The sequence below is a fragment of the Homo sapiens genome, chromosome 3 (assembly GCF_000001405.40).
Source record: "Homo sapiens chromosome 3, GRCh38.p14 Primary Assembly".
Taxonomy (NCBI): Eukaryota; Metazoa; Chordata; class Mammalia; order Primates; family Hominidae; genus Homo; species Homo sapiens.
The window spans coordinates 12,360,782-12,383,074 of NC_000003.12; the positions used below are offsets into that span (position 1 = coordinate 12,360,782).

General features: G+C 37.8%; 1 protein-coding gene across 16 annotated transcripts in view; it reads left to right on the forward strand.

The window, feature by feature from the left end:
• The window catches only part of PPARG (peroxisome proliferator activated receptor gamma), a 146,977-nt gene that overhangs the window by 73,414 nt on the left and 51,270 nt on the right, over window positions 1-22,293 (forward strand). For all 16 annotated transcript variants that reach the window (NM_001354666.3, NM_138712.5, NM_005037.7 and 13 more), the window contains 2 exons: window positions 18,923-19,150; window positions 20,541-20,710. In NM_001354666.3, the coding sequence (NP_001341595.2) occupies window positions 18,931-19,150; window positions 20,541-20,710 (390 nt within the window). In that variant the 5' untranslated portion in view covers window positions 18,923-18,930. The remainder of the gene's footprint in view (window positions 1-18,922; window positions 19,151-20,540; window positions 20,711-22,293) is intronic.

The following is a 22,293-nucleotide window of genomic DNA, read 5'->3' on the forward strand; positions in this document are numbered from 1 at the left end:
ACTGTATAGTGTTTCATTGTATAAATATATCACAACATATTTATCCTACTGTTGATGGGCATTCAGATGGTTTTCAGTATTGCAAATAGTACTGCTATGAACATTGTCCTGTAGGTCTCTTAGTGAAGGAGCGTATGCATTTCTGGTAGCTATATGCTTCAGCCAATAATAGAGTATGTTGAGCTTCAGGAGACGTTGCCAACAGTTCTGAACAGGACTCTAGAAATCTATACTTCTACTAGAAGTGCATGAGTGTTCTAGCTCTTCTACACCATCACTGGTACTTGGCATTCTCTGTCTTTTTCACGTTAGCCATTCTGATGGGTGTGTTGGTATCATATTCTAATTTTAATCTCCCCTTTTCTGATGTCTAAAAAGTTAAACACTTTAAAAAGCGTTTGTTGTCCATTTGGCTATCCTTTCTTGTAAAGTACCTGTTCAAGTCTTTCACCCATTTTTATATTGAGTACTTTAGGTAAACGTTCTAAAGCATACCTTGTCAGATACATGTATTGTAAATATCTCCTCTTACTCTGTGTGCTTTTTCGTTTACTTAATAAACAGATATTTCTAATCAATATAGTCTGATATACTAGATTTTTCTTTTACAGTAAGTGCTTTTTATATCCTTTGGAAGAAAGCTTTGCCTACTCCAAGGTTGATAAAGTGTGTTTTTATTTTAAAAGTTTTCTGGTTTTATATTTCACATTTAGATCCATAATCCACACAGAATTGACTTTTGTGTATGTTGTAAGGCAAGGGTTTATCTCTTTCATGGGGATATCCAGTTGACCTGCTTCGTTTATTGAAAAGATCATCCTTTGCCCACTCCCCAGCAGTGACATTTCTGTCATAAACCAGGTGACCATATAGGTCTGGGATTTATTCTGGACTTACTCTTCTATTGCATTGTATTTTTGCACCAATTAAGATTGCCTTAAGTACTGTAACTTTATAAATAGTTTGATATCTGGTAGTATAAATCCTCCAGCGTTGCTCTTCCCCTTCAAGATTTCCTTGCCACTTGGCCTCTTGAATTTCCTTATAAATTTTAGACTCAGCATATCAATTACCACACAAAAGTGCCGAGATTTTGATTGGAATTGTTCTGAATCTATAGATAAATTGGGAGATAATTGAAAGCTTTACAATATTGAGTCCTTCAATCCATGAACATGAACTATCCTTTCACTTATTTATTCTTTAATTTTTTTAAATAGTATATTTGAGTTTTCATTATGGAGATCTTACACATATTTTGTTAGATTTTTTCCCCTGGGTATTTGATTGTTTTAATGCTGTTGCAAAAATAATTTTTAAATTTCATTTTCTACTTGTTGCTGGCTTATAGAAATATAATTGGTTTTTGAATATTGACCTTGTACCCAGCAACTTTGCTAAATTATTTTATTAACTATAATGAGTTTTTTTGTGGATTTTTAAAAACACAGTCTGCCTAACATGGTGGCTCATGCCTGTAATCCCAGAACTTTGGGAGGCTGAGGTGGGTGGATCACTTTGAGCTCAGGAGTTCGAGACCAGCCTGGCCAGCATAGTGAAACCCTGTCTCTACTAAAAATACGAAAAATTAGCCAGGCATGGTGGCATGCCCCTGTAATCCCAGCTACTTGGGAGGCTGAGGCAGGAGAATTGCCCTAATGCCAGAGGTGGACGTTGGAGTGAGCTAAGATAATGCCACTGTACTCCAGCCTGGGCAACAGAGTGAGACTTCGTCTCAAAAATAAATAAATAAATAAATAAATAAATAAATAAATAAATAAATAAATAAAACGAACAACAACAACAAAATACAGTCATGTCATCTGTAAGTAATGTTAGTTTTAGTTTTATTTCTTCTTTTCCAATTATTCTTTGTCTTTTTCCTTTGTTGCATTGGATGGATTTCCAGTACAGTGGTGAGTAGAAGTAATGATAGTATCATTACCTTGTTGCTGATCTCAAGAGGAAGGCTTTAAATATTTCACCATCAGGTATGATGGCTACTCTAGGATTTTTGTTTGTTTATTTGTTTGTTTTTTATAGATTTTCTTTAGCAGACTAATGAAGTTCCCTTTCCTTCCTAAGAGGTTTTTTATTTAAAAAAAAAATTATGAGTGAATGTTGAATTATATCAAATGCTTTCATAGTTTGTTGTGGTGGTGGTTGTTTTTGAGACAGGGTCTCACTTTGTCTCCAAGCTGGATCATGGTGCATTGCAGCCTCAACCTCCTGGGCTCAAGTGATCCTCCCACCTCAGCCTCTTCCAGTAGCTGGGACCACAGCACATCACCACACCCAGCTAATTTTTAAAAAATTGTTATAGAGACAGGGTCTCACTGTGTTGTCTAGGCTGGTCTTGAACTCTTAGGCTCAAGTAATCCTCCCACCTTGGCCTCCCAAAGTGCTGGGATTACAGGTGTGAGCCACTGTATCTAGCCTAGAATATTTTTTATAGTGCTCAGGAGAAAGATTAAAAGTATGAAAAGTGTCTACTATGTATACTTTAATATCATATTGTAATACATTTGAAGATACTATATGGTATAACTAATGAAAATCTTCAAATCAGCTCATAACCACTAGAGATCTGGCTGTATCTGTTTTGACACTTTTGTTCTCAGTATCTGTTTAGCTTAAGACCCTTGTCTTCTCATTAAGAGTGCTTGACACAGTAAGTTGAAAACATAATTTCAAAAGAGCATAGAGTGTCACATGGTTTGCCAGACTAAACAACTCTGAGTAAGAAAGTGGCTTTCCCCCTATGGTAATGCCAAGCTACTAGAGGACCTTCAGTGGTAAAGTATGATTTAAAACCCTGACCCCATCTGTCTTTTCCCATTTGCAGTAAGTCCTTTATAGTGTTTGAAGGTGGGCACAGCAGGGAAACAGTACTCTGGCAGATCTGCGGTGGCTCCCTCCTTTCTGAGTCATTACACACTCTTCTGGATCATTCCTTTCATTTTTCCTTTTCCTCTCCTCTCCCCTATTTTCATTCCCCTATCACTGCAAAGCCAAAACCAAAACGTGGAAGGGGACCTAGCCGAGGAAAACATTCCAGCTTCTTTTTTCTGATCTAAACACCGTTCTTCTTCTTTTTTATTTTTTAATTAATAACTTTATTTTTAGGGCAGTTTTAGTTTCAGAGCAGAATTGAGTAGGAAGTACAAAGAGTTCCCATATACTTCCTGTCCCCCACCACGCACAATCTCCCCCACTATCAACATCCTGCACCCAAGTGGTACACTTGTTAACAGTCAATAAACCCCCACTGACACATCATTATCACTCAAAGTCCATAGTCTACATTAAGATTCACTCTTCGTGTTATATTCTCTGGGTTTGTACAAATGTATAAGGACACATATCCACCATTGTAGTGTCATACAGAATATTTTCACTGACCTAAAAATCCTCTGGGATCCACCTGTTCATTCCGTTCTCCCCCAAACTTCTGACTACCACTGATCTTTTTCCTGTTTTGATAGTTTTGCGCTTCCCAGAATATCATATAGTTGGAACCATACAGTATGTGGCCTTTTCAGTTTGACTTCTTTCACTTACCAATATGCACTTAAGGTTCTTCCATGTCTTTCCATGGCTTGATAGCTCATTTCTTTGCAGAACTGAGTAATATTTCATTGTTTGGATGAGCCATAGTTTATCCACTCAGCTACTGAAGGGTGTCTTGGTGCTTCCAAGTTTTGGCAATTATGAATAGAGATGCTATAAACACCTGTGTGTGGGTTTTTTGTGGACTTAAGTTTTCAATTGATTTGTGTACCTACCAAGGAGTGTGATTACTGGATTGTATGGTAAGAATATGTTTAGTTTTATAAGAAATGGCCACACTGTCTTCCAAAGTGGCTGTACCATTCATCAGCAACGAATGAGAGTTTCTGTTGCTCCACATCCTCATCAGCATTTGGTGGTGTTAGTGTTTTAGATTTTAGCCATTCTATTTGTAGTGGTATCTTCTTGTTTTAGTTTGCAGTGCTCTCGTGACATATGATGTTGAAGATCTTTTCACATGTTCACATGCCATCTATATATCTTCTTGGATGAAGTGTCTATTCAGATATTTTGCTCATTTTTAAAACAGGGTTATTCACTTTCTTATTATTGAGTTTTAAGCGTTCTTTGTATATTTTGGATAACAGTCCTTTATCACAGTAGTCCCTGACCTTTTTGGCACCAGGGACCAGTTTCATGGAAGACAGTTTTTCCATGGACTGGGGTGGGCAGGAATGGTTTCAGGTGAAACTGGTCCACCTCAGATCATCAGGTATTAGATTCTCATACGGAGTGTGCAACCTAGATCCCTTGCGTGCACAGTTCACAATAGGGTTTGTGGTCCTATGAGAATCTAATGCAGCCACTGATCTGACAGGAGGTGGAGCTCAGGCTATAATGCTTGCCCATCAGCAGTTCACCTGCTGTGCAGCCTGATTCCTCCCAGGCCATGGACTGGTACTGGTCTGGACCTGGAGGTTGGGAACCCCTGCTTTATCAGATGTGTTTTGTACAGATACATTCTCCCCATCTGTGGCTTGTTTACTCATTCTCTTGACACTGTTTTGCACAGAGCAGACTTTTTTTATTTTAATGAAGTCCAGATAATCAGTTATTTCATGGTTCATGTCTCTGGTGGTGTATCTAAAAAGTCCTATCCGTGCTCAAGGTCATCTAGGTTTTCTCCTATATTGTCTTCAGGGAGTTTTATAGTTTTGTACTTTACATTTAGATCTATGTTCCATTTTGAGTTAATTTTTATGAAGAGAATAAGCTCTGTGTCTAAATTATTATTATTATTATTGTTATTATTATATTTTTTTGCATGTGGATGTCCAGTTGCTCCAGTCCCAGTTGTTGAAAAGACTGTCTTTGCTCCAGTGTATTACCCTGGTTTCTTCATCAAAGATCAGCTGACTACATTTATGTGGTCCTATTTCTGGGCTCTGTATTCTGTTCCTTTGATCTATTTGTCTATTCTTTTGCCAGTACCGTACTATCTTAATTACTTTAACTTTCTAGTAAGGCTTGAAGTCAGGTAATGTCAGTCCTTCGACTTTATTCTTCTTCTTTAATATTGAGTTGGCTATTACGGGTCTTTTGCTTCTCCATATAAACTGCAGAACCAGTTTGCCAATATCCACAAAATAACTTGCTGGGATTGTTATTGTGATTGCATTGAATCTATAGATCAAGTTGGGATGAATGACATCTTGACAATACTGAGTCTTCCTATCCATGAGCATGCAGTGTCTCTCCATTTATTTCATTCTTTGATATCTTTCATCAGAGTTTTGTAGTTTTCCTATATAGGTTTCATATATATTTTATTAAATTTATACTTAAGTATTTTACTTTTCGGGGTGCTAATGTAAAACAAAACAGACATTATGAGGAAAATGTAATGTCTGTTTGGGGGTAATGTGTTTTTAATATTAAATTTCGCTTGTTCATTGCTGGTATATAGGAAAGCATTATGACTTTTGTATATTAACCTTGTATCCTGCAACCTTGCTATAATCACTTACTAGGTCCAGGAGATTTTTTTTTTTTCTGTTCTTTTGGATTTTTTTATGTAGAAGTCATGTCATTTGCAAACAAAGACAGTTTTATTTTTACCTTCCCAATCTGTATCCCTTTTATTTCCTTTTCTTGTCTTGTTACGTTAGCTAAGACTTCTAGTATGATGTTGAAAAGCAGTAGTGAGAGAAGATATCCTTGCCTTATTCCTAATCTTAGTGGGAAAGCTTGAGTTTCTCACCATTACTTATGATGTTAACTATATGTTTTGTTTGTAGATGTTCCTAAGTTTAGGAAGTTTTCTTATTTTGTCAAATTCTTTTTCTGCATTTATTGATATGATCATGTGATTTTTCTTCTTTAGGCTATGGGTGTGATGGATTACATTAATTTGTTTTCTAATGTTGAACCAACCCCACATACCTTAGCTAAATCTCACTTGGCCATGGTGTATAATTCTTTTCATACATTATCGGATTCAATTTGCTGATATTTTGTTAAAGATTTCTGCATGTCTGTCCATGAGAGATTGGTCTATAGGGTTTATTTTCCTTGTAATGTCTGTTTTGTTTTAGTATTAGGGTAATTCTAGCCTCATTGAATGAGTTAGGAAGTATTCCCTCTGCTTTTATATTCTGAAAGAGATTTCAGAGAATTGGTATAATTTCTTCCTTAAATGTTTGGTAGAATTCACCAGTGAACCCAGTCCGGTGCCTTCTGTTTCAGAAGGTTATTAGTTATTGATTCAATTTCATTAATAAATGTAGGCCTATTCCATTTCTCTATTTCATCTTGTATGAGTTTTGGAAAATTATGTCTTTCAAGGAATGAGTTCATTTCACCTAGATTATCAAATTTGTGAGCATAGAGCCTATTATCCTTTAATGTCAATGAGATCTGTAATGATACCCCTCTTTCATTTCTGAATAACTTTCATTCATTCTTCACGTACTAGACAAAGTAGAATTTCAACTAAACCAAAGCAACTGTTCAACAGATTTAGCCTTAGTCCTAATCAGATTATTAGTAATATCTCCCTTTAGAAATATATGAAGGTACTTTTAGCAGAGGAACCAAGCTTGAGCTAGTTTGACCATAATGAATTTTTGCTGAGGAAGCAGAAGAAATGTTTATATTGGTGAGGGCATAATCCTGTAATCTTTTCTGTGTCCTGATACCTCAGGACCAGCGTAAGCAAACTCCCTAGACAAGATGTGGCTCATGCAAGAGGAAATATGCTTTTGAAAATGAACATGGGCCAAGCATAGTGACTCATGCCTGTAATCCCAACACTTTGGGAGGCTGAGGCGGGAGGATTGCTTGAGTCCGGGAGTTTGAGAATAGCCTGGGCAACATAATGATACCTTGCCTCTACAAAAAAAAAAATAAAAATAAAAAAATAAAAATAAAAAAATTAGATGAATGTGGTGGTGAATGCCTGTGGTCCCAGCTACTTGGAAGGCTGAAGTGGAAGGATCACTTCAGCACAGGGAGGTCGAGGCTTCAGTGAACCATAATTGTGCCACTGCACTCCAGCCTGCATGACAGAGTGAGACCCTGCCTCAAAAAATAATAGTAAAATTAAATAAAATATAATAAAAAACATGGTCTTTCTAATACCCTTTGTTGATCTGAATTTGAAAATTTCCTGTGAGACCTTCTGGCTTATTATAAAGAAATTTGCATCTAAAGATACATATTGGAATGTTTCAATCTCAAAGCTATCAATGGGAAATCAAACTTCAGAAACATTGAATTTGGTTTTGAATATAGTCTAAGTAGACAATAAAATGAAAATACATTTGTTTATATTGAAGAAGCAAATGACACACCAAATAGTTAATTTCTAATAGTTTTCATTTTTTTCTTTTTCTTTTTTGTTTTTTTTTCAGACAGTGTCTCTCTCTGTTGCCCAGGCTGGAGTGCACTGGCATGAACTCGGCTCACTGCAACCTCCATCTCCCGAGTTCAAGTGATTCTCCTGCCTCAGTCTCCCAAGTAGCTGGGACTACAGGCCTGCGCCACCACGCCCGGCTAATTTTTGTATTTTTGGTAGAGACAGGGTTTCACCATGTAGGCCAGGCTGGTCTCGAACTCCTGACCTCAGGTGATCCTCCCACCTTGTCTTCCCAAAGTGCTGGGATTACAAACGTGAGCCACCACGCCCAGCCTCTAATCATTTTCTTAATTCATGGTGCCCAAAATAAAAGATTCTATATTCAGAGAAACCATGACAGAATTTAAACTCTAGCCCCAATACCTATTTAACATTGGGCAAGTCACTTAACCTTTTTATGTCTAATATTTTTAATCTGTTAGGTGGTAATAATACTTGTGTATAACAACATAGGACTGTTTACAACAAGCACTTAATAATTGTTAGCTATTGTTACTAAATTGTATTTCTGCTGATGGGTTCCAGAGTCTTTTCCTCCTTCACTAAACAAAACTCAGGATACTATGTGAAGGAAAAGAAGTGAGTTGGTAGAATTTATTTTTTAAATGCTTGAGTCAAAAGGAGAGCCATTTGTGGCTGAAGCATCAAAACCATTTTCTGATTTTCTTTCATTCTACTTGAAACTACATTAAAATTTTCTCCAATTTTCCAGATGATTGCATGATAATTCCTTTTAAGAGGACTTTAACACATGTAAGAAATAGAGTTACTCCCTCTGTTAGGAGAAATCATGGAAAGATATTATAATTAAAAGATAGTGAATTTTAGCTTAATTTTTACCTTTATCTAAATAACACTCGTACACAGCTACAGCTTTCAGTGAAGAAGAGATACTCATTCCCACAGCTAAATCCCGCTCCTCATAGGCAGTGATTTTACCTCTTTCACATATTTCTTCTGGCATTTACCTTCCTATCTCTAGAATAACATACTTACATTAATGGCCAGGCATAGTGACTCACGCCTGTAATCCCAACACTTTGGTAGGTCAAGATGGGCACATCGCTTGAGCCCAGGAGTTTGAGATCAGCCTGGGCAACATGGTGAAACCTCATCAGTACAGAAAATACAAAAATTAGCCAGCAGTGGTGGTGCATGCCTGTGGTCCCAGCTACTTGGGAGGCTGAAGTTGGAGGATTTCTCGAGCCCGGGAGTTTGAGGCTACAGTGAGCTGTGATTGCGTTACAGCACGACAGCCTGGGCCACAGAGAGAGACCTTGTCTCAAAAATAATTATAATAATAATAACTTATACTATTATTTTTAAAATTGTATTCTTATCCATTGACTTCTTACTGTGGGAGATAATAATTTAGTCCTTTTACTACCATATTCCCTTTTCCAAAACACATACTTCTCCCTCCCCTCCATCTTCACAATGTAGTTACTTGTAATTTGGGGTTAAATCAGTTGTCTGTGCTTACATTGTAGTAACTGAAAGTGCTGCTTAAGGTTGAGCCAAGCAGTGTGCTATGATTCTGTTTCCTCTCCTGCTTAGCTATTTACTTTTCTGGAGTTAATTTTTGTCACTTAGTCATTGCTCATTTTGTTGTCATTTCTTGCTATGTACTCATCACTAATTCATCCTCAAACTCTCTGACAGAGTAATAAAAACTCCTCTGAAAGTGGTCAGACATATCGGGCATTCTGGTTTCTCAGGTGATCCCACCTGGCCTTCTTCCTCCTGCATTTTCTCTAGGCTGCTCTGTATCTGTAGCCTGGGACTACCTTCCACCTCTCTCCTGTCTTTCAGATCCTTTGTTTCCTGGTCCCATCTTTTCTCTTCTTGGTTCTGGTGGAGAACTCTGGGAAAGAGTACGTGGGAGGTAACTTTTCTGGATGCCTTATCATTCTGAAAATGTCTTTACTCTCATACTTGATGGACGATTTGGATGAGTCTAAAATTCTAGGTTGGAAATTTTTTTTTCTCTTGAATTTTGGCAACATTGTTCTATTGATTTTCTAGCTTCCAGTGTTACTGTTGAGAAGTTCAGTGTCATTCTGATTCCTGATCCTTTCTATGGTACTTTTTTTTTTTCCTGTCAGGAAGTACTTATGATCATCTCTATAGAAGGGGTATTAATCTTGACAGTGTTCCTTTCTGTGTGGTTTAAGAAATCCTTTCTCTCTTGGGTTTTGTTACTGTTTTATAAATCCTTGATCTTAGTCATTCTAAGGTTAAAGAAAAACTGAGGAACAACTCAGGAATACGTTTCAAGTACATGTGATAAAAGGCAAATATGCAGAGGATGATAACTATATGTTTAAAAAATGGGAAAAAAGAGATAGTCGCAAACTTCAACATAGGTTAGATCATCATTTCTCAAACCATATTCCATCACATATTAAGCTCCTCAAATATTGCACACTGTGCTTTTTTCTCTCTTTTGTGTATTCTCGTGAACATTAGCCTGTTAGTTTAAGAAGTCTCACAGTAAACCTATTTAACCTTGCTTAACCTAGCATTGCCTAAATTTACTTGATCACCAGATTTTTTTTGTTTTGTTTTTAATTATTTTTAAAGGAACATTATTAACATATGTATAACACAGTTGGGGAAATGCCAGATAAGACATAGACTTTCCTGGCTGCTAAAGAGCAATTAAGCATTGGAATGAGTAACCAAGAGGAGCTGTGGACTCTCCTTTTCCAGAGGCCTTTAAAACAGGACATCTGTTTTAGGCGTAGTCCTGTTTAAACAATAGGGCTTTGCTGGCGGTTCTTCCTCTTCCTGTCCCCTAGTGGTAGTGTTGGAGGCTTTTAGCCCACCTTTTATATGACTGTAGTACTCTGGTGACTAATGTGTACACAAATTACTGTTATACTATTAATATTAATTATATTTATTGAGAACTTATTAAGTATCCAGCCCTATGGTAAGTGCTCTACATACATTATCTAATTTAATCCTCACAACAACTCTAGGAGGGAGACAATATTAATATTCTACAGATGGAGATTAGATATGAAGAGATACGAACTTCCAGCAATAGGGTTGGATTGGAACCTCGGGCATCTGACATGGAGCTGTGCCCATCCTTCTTCACCGTTAATGTTCAAAACAGCAAACGGCACAAAGCAAGCAAACAACATTTGTATATCTGTACTTACTATGTAAAAACAAACCAAGATAATGCTTACTTTATTAGACTATTCAAGACTATTCCCTACGCCTTTTGATTAATTCAGAGTTCATGACTTTTGTTAGAAACAAATTCTGTTACAGATTTAGTTCTTCGCATTTTATTCTGTGATAATTTGCCATCCAGGAAATGGTTCCTTACATGAGACTTTTTCCCTCATAAATTTGATGACATTCATATACATTCACTAAAGACCCCCAAAAAATAAATCTGGATCTGTGAAAAGTGGCAAAGGTTAAAAGTCCCATTTTCAGCATATTTACATGTAGTAACAACTTGATAACACAGCGCTGAGAATGCCAGGCTCAGAGGAGCCAAGCTGGGCTCCCGTCCAGTCAGCCTCTAGCTCACCAGGAAACCCTGAGCAGGTCACTTTGCCTCATTTTCTTTATCTGTCAAATGAGAACTCAGATGATCTCAAAACAGCCTTTTCTGCTGTAGTGTTTCAGGATGATTCTTGTCTCTGGATGTCGCTGTCATGATGGGAGAGGAATTAGTAAATTCCCAGGTCAGTTTACACTGCAGAGTGATCTTGATCTGCATGAATCAGTAAGGATGGGCTGGATAAACAAGTTGGAACCACAGTTATGAGTACCATGACATTAACTGAAACAAATGAGAAGGGATTGAAAAATCGGCGGTTAAGTGTCTTTTAAGGTCATTTCCAACAAAACTACAAAGGACCTATGAAAGGCTTTTCAGGCACGTACTCTTGTTGCCTAGCTGAACACATTTCTCCAATAAAGCTTTCATTTGAGAGTTACTCTTCATAGTACATCCCCTGCCCCCCTGCCTGCCTGGCACATTATAGGTATTCATGAAGATTTGTTGGAACTGTTAAATAATTGTTTAATATAGAACTGGAAGATCAGGAAGAAATAATGTTTTTCTAACCAGTATCCAGTGTAAAGTCACAAGTGTGGGCTATGGAGCTTCAGACCATCTGGATTCAATGCCAGTTCTACTGCTTAGTTACTGCGTACTTTTAGGCAAGTTACTTACTTCCAGGTCCATGCCTCAGTTTTCCCATCTTTAAAGTAAATTATAAATGCACCTACTTCCTCGGGCTGGTTGTGAGGATTAAATGACACAATCCGGGCACAATATTTGGCGTAGTACTTTGCACAGATTTAGTGTCCTGTTAGTATTAGCTAATGTAAATATGAAGAAGATGTAACATTTTACCAGCTATTCTAATCATAGCTTTTCTTTTCTTTTCGTAAGGGACAACATAAAACCCCAAAGGTAAAGCATATATTTCTGGTGTTCAATTTTACAATTTAGCATCTTTTCCAACCCACTTCCATACTCCCAAATAATAATGCCTATCAGATTAAAGAAGTTACTTTATTTTTGCATGAAATTGGTTGTATTTTTGTTGCACTACTTCATCCTTTGAGTATTGTGAAAAGTCTGCGCATTGACTATAATAGCATTTAAAGCCAAGTTTGAAGGTCTAAGATAATGGCACACATCCATGTCCTTTGCTCACAAGTTCTGCCTAAAGACTTTAGCCTGCTTGAAACACTCTAAAGGTTGTGAAATTAATGGATATACCACTGATGCAACACAACTCAGTGTCACCAGCTAGGGAGTTAAGACATGTTCTTGTTACTGAGAAGGGCTGTTGTTCATGCAAATATTTTGTTCATTTGTTCTTTCATGGGTAATTGCACGGAGTAACAAAAAACACCTCCTCAACTTACAGCTTGGCAGAAACAGTAGCTTATGTTTTCTAGAGACAAAATTAGAAGCAGGCTTTCTGGACCCATCTCTAAGTCAAAATAAAATAAAATGTCTAGGGAACCACTGTGCCTCCCAGTAACTATGGTCCATGGAATAATATTGTTTAGGTCAAGGTGTCCCAGAGTAAAAGGGAAGGGAGAAGGGCAGGGGGGAAGGGGAAAAGTGTGTTTGGGCAATGTTTTCATAGAGATGAAGAGGCAAGCTGTTTTTCTTTCTTACTTTGTCCTTTCAACTTAGAAAAATAAGAAAACCATCTAGGACCACAACCTTCCTCTTGTAATCAGCAAAAGAGAAAAAACTGAATATACATCGTTAAGGGGAATGGTTATGGCTTAAGTTGTATTTTATTGATAATGTTGAAGATTAACATTTTTTGGAGAGAACTTAAGTCTTAACAAAACTAAACTATTGAGAAAGTATTGTTATTTTTCCATCTTTAGTAGCAAAATGAAAATTTACTCTACTCTTCTGCATAAAATATGATCATCAATTGGCAAGAATTTGGTTAAAAAAAAAAACTGTGCATAGAATATGCACATGGGAAGATAGAATAATAAGATGCTGTCCTTTTACTCCAGACTGGAAGTCTAATGGTGGAGATAGTTATCCAGATAATTATATCTGAGTTAAAGGAGGAGGTACAAAGTGCTGTGGGAACACAGAGAATGGAGTGTTTTTAAGTTGGAGGATTCATAGATGGTTTTACAGAGAAAGTAGCATTTGGACTGGGTTTTGAAAGACAAACAGGCTTGTGGCATGAAGAGGTGAGGAGTAGGAAGAAGATACAGCAGCCTCAGTAACCTGTATGACTAAAAGAGGCAGGGCATGTTTAACCTGGGCAGATAGTATGATATGCCCAGCCACCAGATATGCCAAGAATGGGAGCGAGGTCTGGGATAACCAGTGGAAATAAGACTGAAAAAGTAAGTTAGGGCTGAGACATAGAGGGCCTTGAATGCCAAGCTAAAAGGCCAGTGTTTCTCCTGCTTTTCCACCAGTATGCCCTTACTAGTAGAGGACAGCAAAACCATACCATTCTTGGGTGGAGGAAGGGAGGAATGAATAGGTGGAGTATGGGGTATGTTTGGGGCAGTGAAACTATTCTGTGTGATCCTCTAATGAATGCATGATATTATGTCTTTGTCAAAACCCATAGAACTTGGCTGGGCATGGTGGCTCACACCCGTAATCCCAGCACTTTGGGAGGCAGAGGCAGGTAGATCCATTGAGGTCAGGAGTTCAAGACCAGCCTGGCCAACATAGTGAAACCCCTTCTCTACTAAAAATACAAAAATTAGCAGGGCATGGTGGCACACGCCTGTAATCCCAGCTACTCAGGAGGCTGGGGCAGGAGAATCATATGAACCTGGGAGGTGGAGGTTGCAGTGAGCCAAGATCGTGCCACTGCATTCCAGCCTGGGTGACAGAGCGAGACTCCACCAAAAACAAAAACAAAACAAAACAAAAATGTAGAACTATGCAACAGAAAGAGCAAACCTTGATGTAAATCATGGACTTTAGGTGGTAATAATGTGTCAATATTGGTTCATCAGTTATAGCAGGTATACTACACTGTGCAAGGTGTTAGTAATAGGGGAAAACCATGCTTTGTAGAGAGGGGACAGGAGGCTGGGGAAGGGCTATTTTAAGAGCTCTGTACTTTCTGCTCAATTTTTATGTAACCCTAAAACTGCTCTCACAAAAGTAAAGGCTACTATGAAAAGCAAAACAAAACGAAAACAGAAAACAGCATCCTTTTAGCCATGAGATGTACTACAAGTACAGAGTTTTCTAGGAATTTCATATAATATTTTTAAAAATTACATGAACTTTTCCTTCTTTCCTTAACACATAGATGGCTATTTTCACATTAAAAATTTTCCCAAAATTTCCACAATGTAATACACGACCCCTAGGGATATGACTTTTGTAATAAGAAGCATGACTTTGGCTGGGCACAGTGGCTCACGCCTATATTCCCGGAAGTTTGGGAGGCTGAGCCAGGAGGACCACTTGAACGCAGGAGTTTGAGACCAGCCTGGGCAACACAGTGAGATGCTGTCTCTTTAAAAGTGAGGTTGGGGAGGTGGGAGAGAGAGAGAGAGAGAGAGAGAGGAAAGAAAGCAGCATGGCTGTGATTGATAGGAAGTCACTGAAATTGTATGTTAAAAATGAAACAAAGCAAAATTAAACCAGTAAAATCATGAGCAACCAATTTCTCTCCCACCCCAGATATTTGTGCATCCTTATTTTCATTTCCCAGTATTCATACAAAAGCATATCCACTACCTTTAACTCACTTTGTCAGCCTTTATTCTGTATGCAGAAAACTTTGCAATAGCATAGTGAGAAATAGGTGATAAACCCACCTTTGTGGATATTACAGTGTAGACAAGGGAAATATACTTTAATATGAAAATAAGTTATACTAAGAAAAGTAGATACAGAAATGAAAATTAAGCCTGCCAAGGAGACAGACAAAGTAAATGGAATGACCTGGGTTAGACAGGTTTGGACGAATTTTGAAACAAAGGACACAGTTGGATGGGTGCCCTGTCCTTAGGAGCACAGACTTTTTTCTGGATGTCATTGAGACCTAGAATGACCTTTAACTATCACCAGTACACATTCCCCTTTTTGGTGTGCAGTGTTGACACTGAAACACAGATAACTTAAGGTTGTTTGGGTACTTATTTATGTAGATAGACATGTGAACCCATACGGTACCTAATTAGTCCTCTTGAAACCACAAACGCGCATTCACAGGACCAGTCTTGTTTATATTTTCAAGGCTTTTTTTTTTTTTCTTTTGAGTTGGAGTTTCACTCTTGTTGCCCAGGCTGGAGTGCAGTGGCGTGATCTCAGCTCACCGCAACCTCTCTCTCCTGGGTTCAAGTGATTCTCCTGCCTCAGCTTCCCGAGTAGCTGGGATCACAGGCATGCACCACCATGACCAGCTAATTTTGTATTTTTAGCAGAGATGGGGTTTCTCCATGTTGATCAGGCTGGTCTCGAACTCCTGACCTCAGGTGATCCACCCTCTTTGGCCTCCCAAAGTGCTGGAATTACAGGTGTGAGCCACCGCACCCGGCCTCAGGGCATTTTTTCTTATGAAGATGACAGCCGAAATCTTCAATCTTCAACTCATGCAAAAGTTTGCCTTTGGAGTGAATTTCTTGGCAATCTGCTTGGTAAGAAAAAGCAAGTGGTGTTAAAGTGAGAGCATTAAAATAAAATTGCTCCAAAAAAATGATAAATAAATAAAAGAAAAGAAAAAGGAAAAGCAAGAGGCCCATGCACAGATACACAGAGGAGAGTGGCCCCTCCTCCATAAGCCTGTTTCATCAATGAGAGAATCAAGAGAGTATGTATATACAGAAGAGAGTTTCAGGGTCAGTCTTGAGTTTGCATCTTCTACTTCCTAGCTAGAGGACCTTGAACAATTCACTTTACTTCTTTGGTCCTAGCTTGCTTATCTATAAAGTGGGAATAATATTTCAGATTATGCAGAAGAAAAGGTAGGATGTACCGGGCACATGGGAAGTGCTTGATCAATACCAATTTGCTTCCCTCCTTCCCTGCCCCTTCTGCTGAAACTTCACAGCTATCTCATTAAGTCATCAATGTATTTAGTATTTAATAAATAAATATTTAACGAGCACCTACTATGAGACAAGCCCTTTGTTAGCCAGTGGGGATATGACTGCAAACAAGAAAGATACGCCTATGATTTGATGAATCCTGGAGTTTATGAGCAGCTCATCTCTGTCTCCCGTGTGAGCAGTCCTAAATTTACACAGCTCTCCACTGGTGTTTTTGACCACAGAGTTAACATTTAAAATACCTATGACTGCTTTTTTGGCACCACTTTGAATAATGAACTGGTGTCAGGTAAACAGAGTCCAGGTACCTATTGCAGAAAGTTTTCCAGTCTGCACCCTCGGTGGCTCACAAGTTCACATGAAGTGAACCAAAAGAGTTTTGTTGCACTTACTGTGACAATAAATCATGTTTAGAAAAATGCATGTGGCATACATGATATTGGGCAAATGATTCATGAAACTTGCTATTCTGTGGCCTTAGAATCCATGTAAGCATTTTTCCTTTGTCTTTTATGTGTTTTCTTGTTTCTATCTCTGTTTTGTTTTGTTTTTGTTTTGGGGATGGTTTAAAATTAATGCTGGGCTAGAGTCTGATTTTGACACTCTCGGGTGTGATCAAATGTTTCCACATATCTCTCTAACCTTTCTATTCTCAATGTGGGGAAAACTTTCTCCGCTTTAAGAAAAGGTGTATCCACAGAAAAGATTATTGAGTAATTTTTCATAGTACAGAAGTAATAATTGAGTGATTTTTCCCTTTAAAATTTTTTTATTTTTGTATTATTTTAAGAACAAAATTATTTTAGGATGCAATTAAAGAAGAAGTTCATTTACCTAAATTTAATTTGCCAACTTTTCTATTACACAAAAGCATTATAAATACAAGTAGAATAGCAAAAATTTCATCCTAAAGAGAAAAATATTTTGGGCTTCTAATTTCAAGAGAGTAAAATTGTCCTGGAACCCTGTGCACACTTTAAAAACAATCATTAACAGATTGCATCAAACTAGAAACTTCTTCACCACAAAGGAAATAATCAATAAAGTGAAAAGCCAGCCTACAGAATAGGGGAATCTGTACATCTGATATGAAGTTATGGATTGCAAATCGTACATCTGATATGGAATTAATATTCCAAAATATGTAAGAAACTCAACAAACTCAATTGCAAGAAAACAAATAACCCAGTTAAAAAATGATAAAGGAATATCCATTTCTAGAAAGAAGACATACAAGTGGCCAACAGATATATGAAAAGGTACTCACCATCACTAATCATCAGGGAAATGCAAATCAAAACCACGGTGAGATATCATCTCACACCCATTAGAATGGCTGTTATCAAAAACACAGAAGATAAGAAGTGTTGGCAAGGATGTGGATAAGAGGGAACCCTTGTACACTGTTGGCAGGAATGTAAATTGGTATAGTCATTATGGAAAACAGAATGGACTGCCTCAAAAAATTAAAAATAGAACTAGCATATGATCTAGCAATCCTACTTCTGGGTATATATCCAAGGGAAATGGAATCAGTATGTTGAAGAGCTATCTGCTCTCCCATGTTCACTGCAGCATTATTCGCAATAGCCAAGATATGAAATCAACCTAAGTGTCAATGGATGAATGGATTTTTGAAAACACAGTATATATCTGTATATATATACACACATACATATATACACATACAGATGTATATGTACACACCCAATAGAATATTATTCAGCCTTAAAAAGAGAAGGAAATCCTGTCATTTGCGACAACAGAGATGAACCTAGAGGACGTTATGCTAAGAGAATTAAACTGGGTGGTATTTGACACAGAAAGACAAATACCACATGATCCACGTGGAATCTAAAAAAGTCGAACTCATAAAAGCAGTGAGTAAAATGGTGGTTGCCAGGAGCTGGAGGGTGAGAGCAATGGGGAGATATCAGCCAGAGTTTCAGTTATGCAGGATAAGCTCTGGTCACCTTCTAAGGTGATCATCTGCTAAGTATAGGTCACCTTCAGCATGGTGACTATAGTTAGTGATACTGTATGGTATATTTGAAATTTGCTAAGACAGTAGATGTTAAGTGTTCTCACTACACATATTCATACTCAAAAAGGTAACTGTGAAGTGATGAATATGTTCATTACCTTGATTATGATAATCATTTCATAGTAAATACGTATATTAAAACATCACATTGAATACCTTAAGTGTTTTGTTTGTTTTTTGGTTTTTTGGGTTTTTTTGTTTTGTTTTGGTTTAGGTTTTTTTTGAGGTGGAGTCTTGCTCTGTCACCCAGGCTGGAGTGCAGTGGTGTGATCTCACCTTACTGCTACCTCTGCCTCCCAGGTTCAAGTGATTCTCCTGTCTCAGTCTCCCAAGTAGCTGGGATTACAGGCGTGCTACCACACCCGGCCAATTTTTGTATTTTTAGTAGAGATGAGGTTTCACCATGTTGGCCAGGCTGGTCTCGAACTCCTGACCTCAGGTGATCCTCCTGCCTCCGCCTCCCAAAGTGCTGGGATTACAGGTGTGAGCCACTGTGCCTGGCCTGTATACCTTAAGTTTAAAAATTTTTGTCTATTATACTCAATAAAGCTGGACAAAATTTTAAATAAATAACAGCAGTCATTAACAGACTCAATTGATGACCTAATGTAGAAGTTAATGAGAGCAGGCCTGTTGGCAAAAAGGCATTTATATGGATACACTGTATGTATCTGCACTGTTTCAGGATCCTCTATTATGATACCTGGGTAAAGGGTGACTTCCTTTCTATCATAAAACAGCCTAGACAGCACTAAGAAGGTGGTTATGTTCTTTTCTGTTGTTGTGAGCGCCCAGATGAGATTACTTTGCCAAAGACTCTTTTCATTTCTCTTTCTGAAACTCTGTGAGATTGCTGTGTTCTCTAGGACTTAACTTCACAGCTAGTCTATTTTTCCTTTCAGAAATGACCATGGTTGACACAGAGATGCCATTCTGGCCCACCAACTTTGGGATCAGCTCCGTGGATCTCTCCGTAATGGAAGACCACTCCCACTCCTTTGATATCAAGCCCTTCACTACTGTTGACTTCTCCAGCATTTCTACTCCACATTACGAAGACATTCCATTCACAAGAACAGATCCAGTGGTTGCAGATTACAAGTATGACCTGAAACTTCAAGAGTACCAAAGTATGATGTTTATTTTCACTTTTCAGACTACTAGGACTAGAATTGGACTCATCTCTCAGTAACCCTGTAATAAATAATGCTCCAGAGACTAGAAATCTAATAGAGAAGGCATTCACCATTCATTTATTCACCCATTTATCCATGAAATATTAGGTATCTATGAAATGCCAGGAAGGGAGCTGGCACGAGGTCAATCTTGCCTTCCCCGCCCCCTCCTTCCTTCCTCTCTTCTTTCCTTTCTTGCTTACTTCCTTCTTAGGGACATTTTCTACCTTGATTACACTGTCAGTTGTATCTCAGGCTAAGAGTCCATCATCCAAACTTTGAATTATTTTGGCCCCTTATAAGTTAATAAGTAACAATTCCAAGTCACTTTGTATTATATAACTTATCTTCACTATATTACTGCTACTACAGTACATTTTTTCTAGTATGTCCTTTCAGGAGTTTATACTGAAACCTACTTTTAAGCACAAATTTGTTTTAACATTGTAGCCTATTGATAAATTTTCATGCCATTAACTAAATCAACATCAAAACATCAGACTCAAGAAAAACTAGAACTGCACTTTTTGAGATAAAATGTATTTCTGTGATGCTATTTCCTTGATTTTTATCATGTGTGGGCTGACATGCTGGTTTTCCAAAGCCACCACTATGTAATTGGCAATCATTACTTGACAAGTAAGAACTTCCTGTATTTCTAGTGGCTTTTAAAGATAAATAATATGCTTAGTTATATTTATCTATGCGGTTTTCAGTTAGAGCCTAATATGGAAATTTAGTAGCCCTGAGCCCAACTAGTAAAAGGTAGGGCTTACTTCCATAAGTTCCGCCACGCTCTGTCAAAGATTATTTCACAAACCACCTCCTTTGACTGAACACTAATGGTAACCTGGGCTCATATTTTTCATGCACCTCAAGCTAGGCATACCATGACCTTTTCACAGTGGTGTTCCTTCTGTGGTTCTTTTGCAAGTTGTTTCAAAGTACTTATAAAATGGAATATTTAAATAAAATGTATAATTTAATATTGTGATGAATACCAAAGACAGAACATTTCCTAGCAAAATAAGCTTCCTTGTCTCAAATCCTCTATGTTGTCTGTTACAGCTGTAGTATTGCAGGCTACTGGGGGTCATAGAACCACAGACTTAATTCTCATTCCCATTTTATATTTACAGGTGAGGCTTAGAGATGTTATAACTTGCCTGTGATTACAAACCTTTCTTTTTCTTGCCTTAACTCCAGTGTTTTTTCATGTTCCACTGTGCTTTTACACTGAAACAATACAAATACAGCATGAAGGTGTACTATGGTGGCTTGCCCTGTTGCCTTTTTAGGACTGTTTTCATGGGATAATTATCCTCTCACATGTCTCCATACACAGGTGCAATCAAAGTGGAGCCTGCATCTCCACCTTATTATTCTGAGAAGACTCAGCTCTACAATAAGCCTCATGAAGAGCCTTCCAACTCCCTCATGGCAATTGAATGTCGTGTCTGTGGAGATAAAGCTTCTGGATTTCACTATGGAGTTCATGCTTGTGAAGGATGCAAGGTAATTAAAAAAAAAGTCTTCAAAGAAATTGTTGAAACTTTATTATTTCATTTCAGCAGAACCCCTTTTTTAGGTGATACAATATATGAATTTTTTTTCTTCATGGAAGAGTATCTTGCTCTGTCACCCAGACCAGAGTGCAGTGGTGCTATCCTAGCACACTGCAGCCTTGAGCTTCTGGGCTCAAGTGATCCTCCCACCTCAGCCTCCCAAAGGATGATATAAGATTTGAAAGCCTAAGAAAGTGGATAAAAGTTGGGCTGCTTTGCCCCACATTTGTTTCTCCAAATTGATTCTTTGAGACACTGATCTAATTTAATCCTTGCATCTTGCAGATTTTTACAAAAAGGTGACTTCTCCAAGGTGTCATGGCAAGACAGTGATGACCTGGAACCAGGATGCAGATTTCCTGCATTCTCTAGTTGTTTATTTATTTATTTATTTATTTATTTTGCTATACCGTGTAATATTGTATAGACAGAAGATTTTACAGATTATTTATATATGCATATCTTTGGATCCCTAGAGCAATCCTATAAGATTGGACTTCTTTATGGCCACATTGCAGATGTAGAAATTACAGGTTAGTAAAACTTGCCAAGGTCATCCCTTAGTAAGTGGCAGACCGCAGTCTAGACCCTGACTCCTTAGGTGGTGTTGGCTCTCAAAGCAGTGCCTCATGTTTCCTTATTCCAGCATCAATGTGAGCCACATACACGGACAGGTAAGGAGGTATAACAGTGTGGGAAAGGAGATACTATTTATCCTCATCTCTTTCCTTTGTGAAAAGGGTATTTTGGAAAATTCAGACGTTTAGTAATTTATTGCTTAATTATTAAGAAAATATGTGAATCCACTCATATTTTGATATGCAGTCTTTTAAGATAATTTTAATATACACAATGCAAAAATAGTACTAATTTATTATATACGCATTGCACAGAATAAACTGTTCATAAATATTCACTTTATAAAATAAATACCTGCTTATTGGGCTTTTTATTCAACGTAAAGATACAGAACAACAGTTAGGAAAGTTTTAGGACATCTTGGTTCCTAAATGGATGGTGGGCCAAAAAAGGAAACTGATTTTTATTGAATTCTTACTACATGCCAAATACTGTATGAGGTAACGTTTTCATACATCAGTATTTAACCACATCCTACCCAGGTTTTCTCATCTATAAAATGATTGTGGCTGAGTGTGGTGGCTCACGCCTCTAATCCCAACACTTTGGGAGGCCAAGGCAGGAGGATCACTTGAGCCCAGGGGTTCAAGACCAGTCTGGGCAGCATAGTGAGACCCCATCCCTACAAAATTTTTAAAAAATTAACCAGGCATGGTGGCACATGCCTGTAGTCCTAGCTTCTTGGGAGGTTTAGGTAAGAGGATCCCTTGATCCCAGAAGTTCAAGGCTGCAGTGAGCTATGATCATACCACTGCACTCCAGCCTGGGTCACAAAAGCAAGACCCTAACTCCAAAAATAAATAAATAAATAAGTAAATAAATAAAATGACACTGAATTACATGATCTCTAAAGTCCCTTCAATTGAAACAGTTTTTACTCTAAAGGCAACCTAA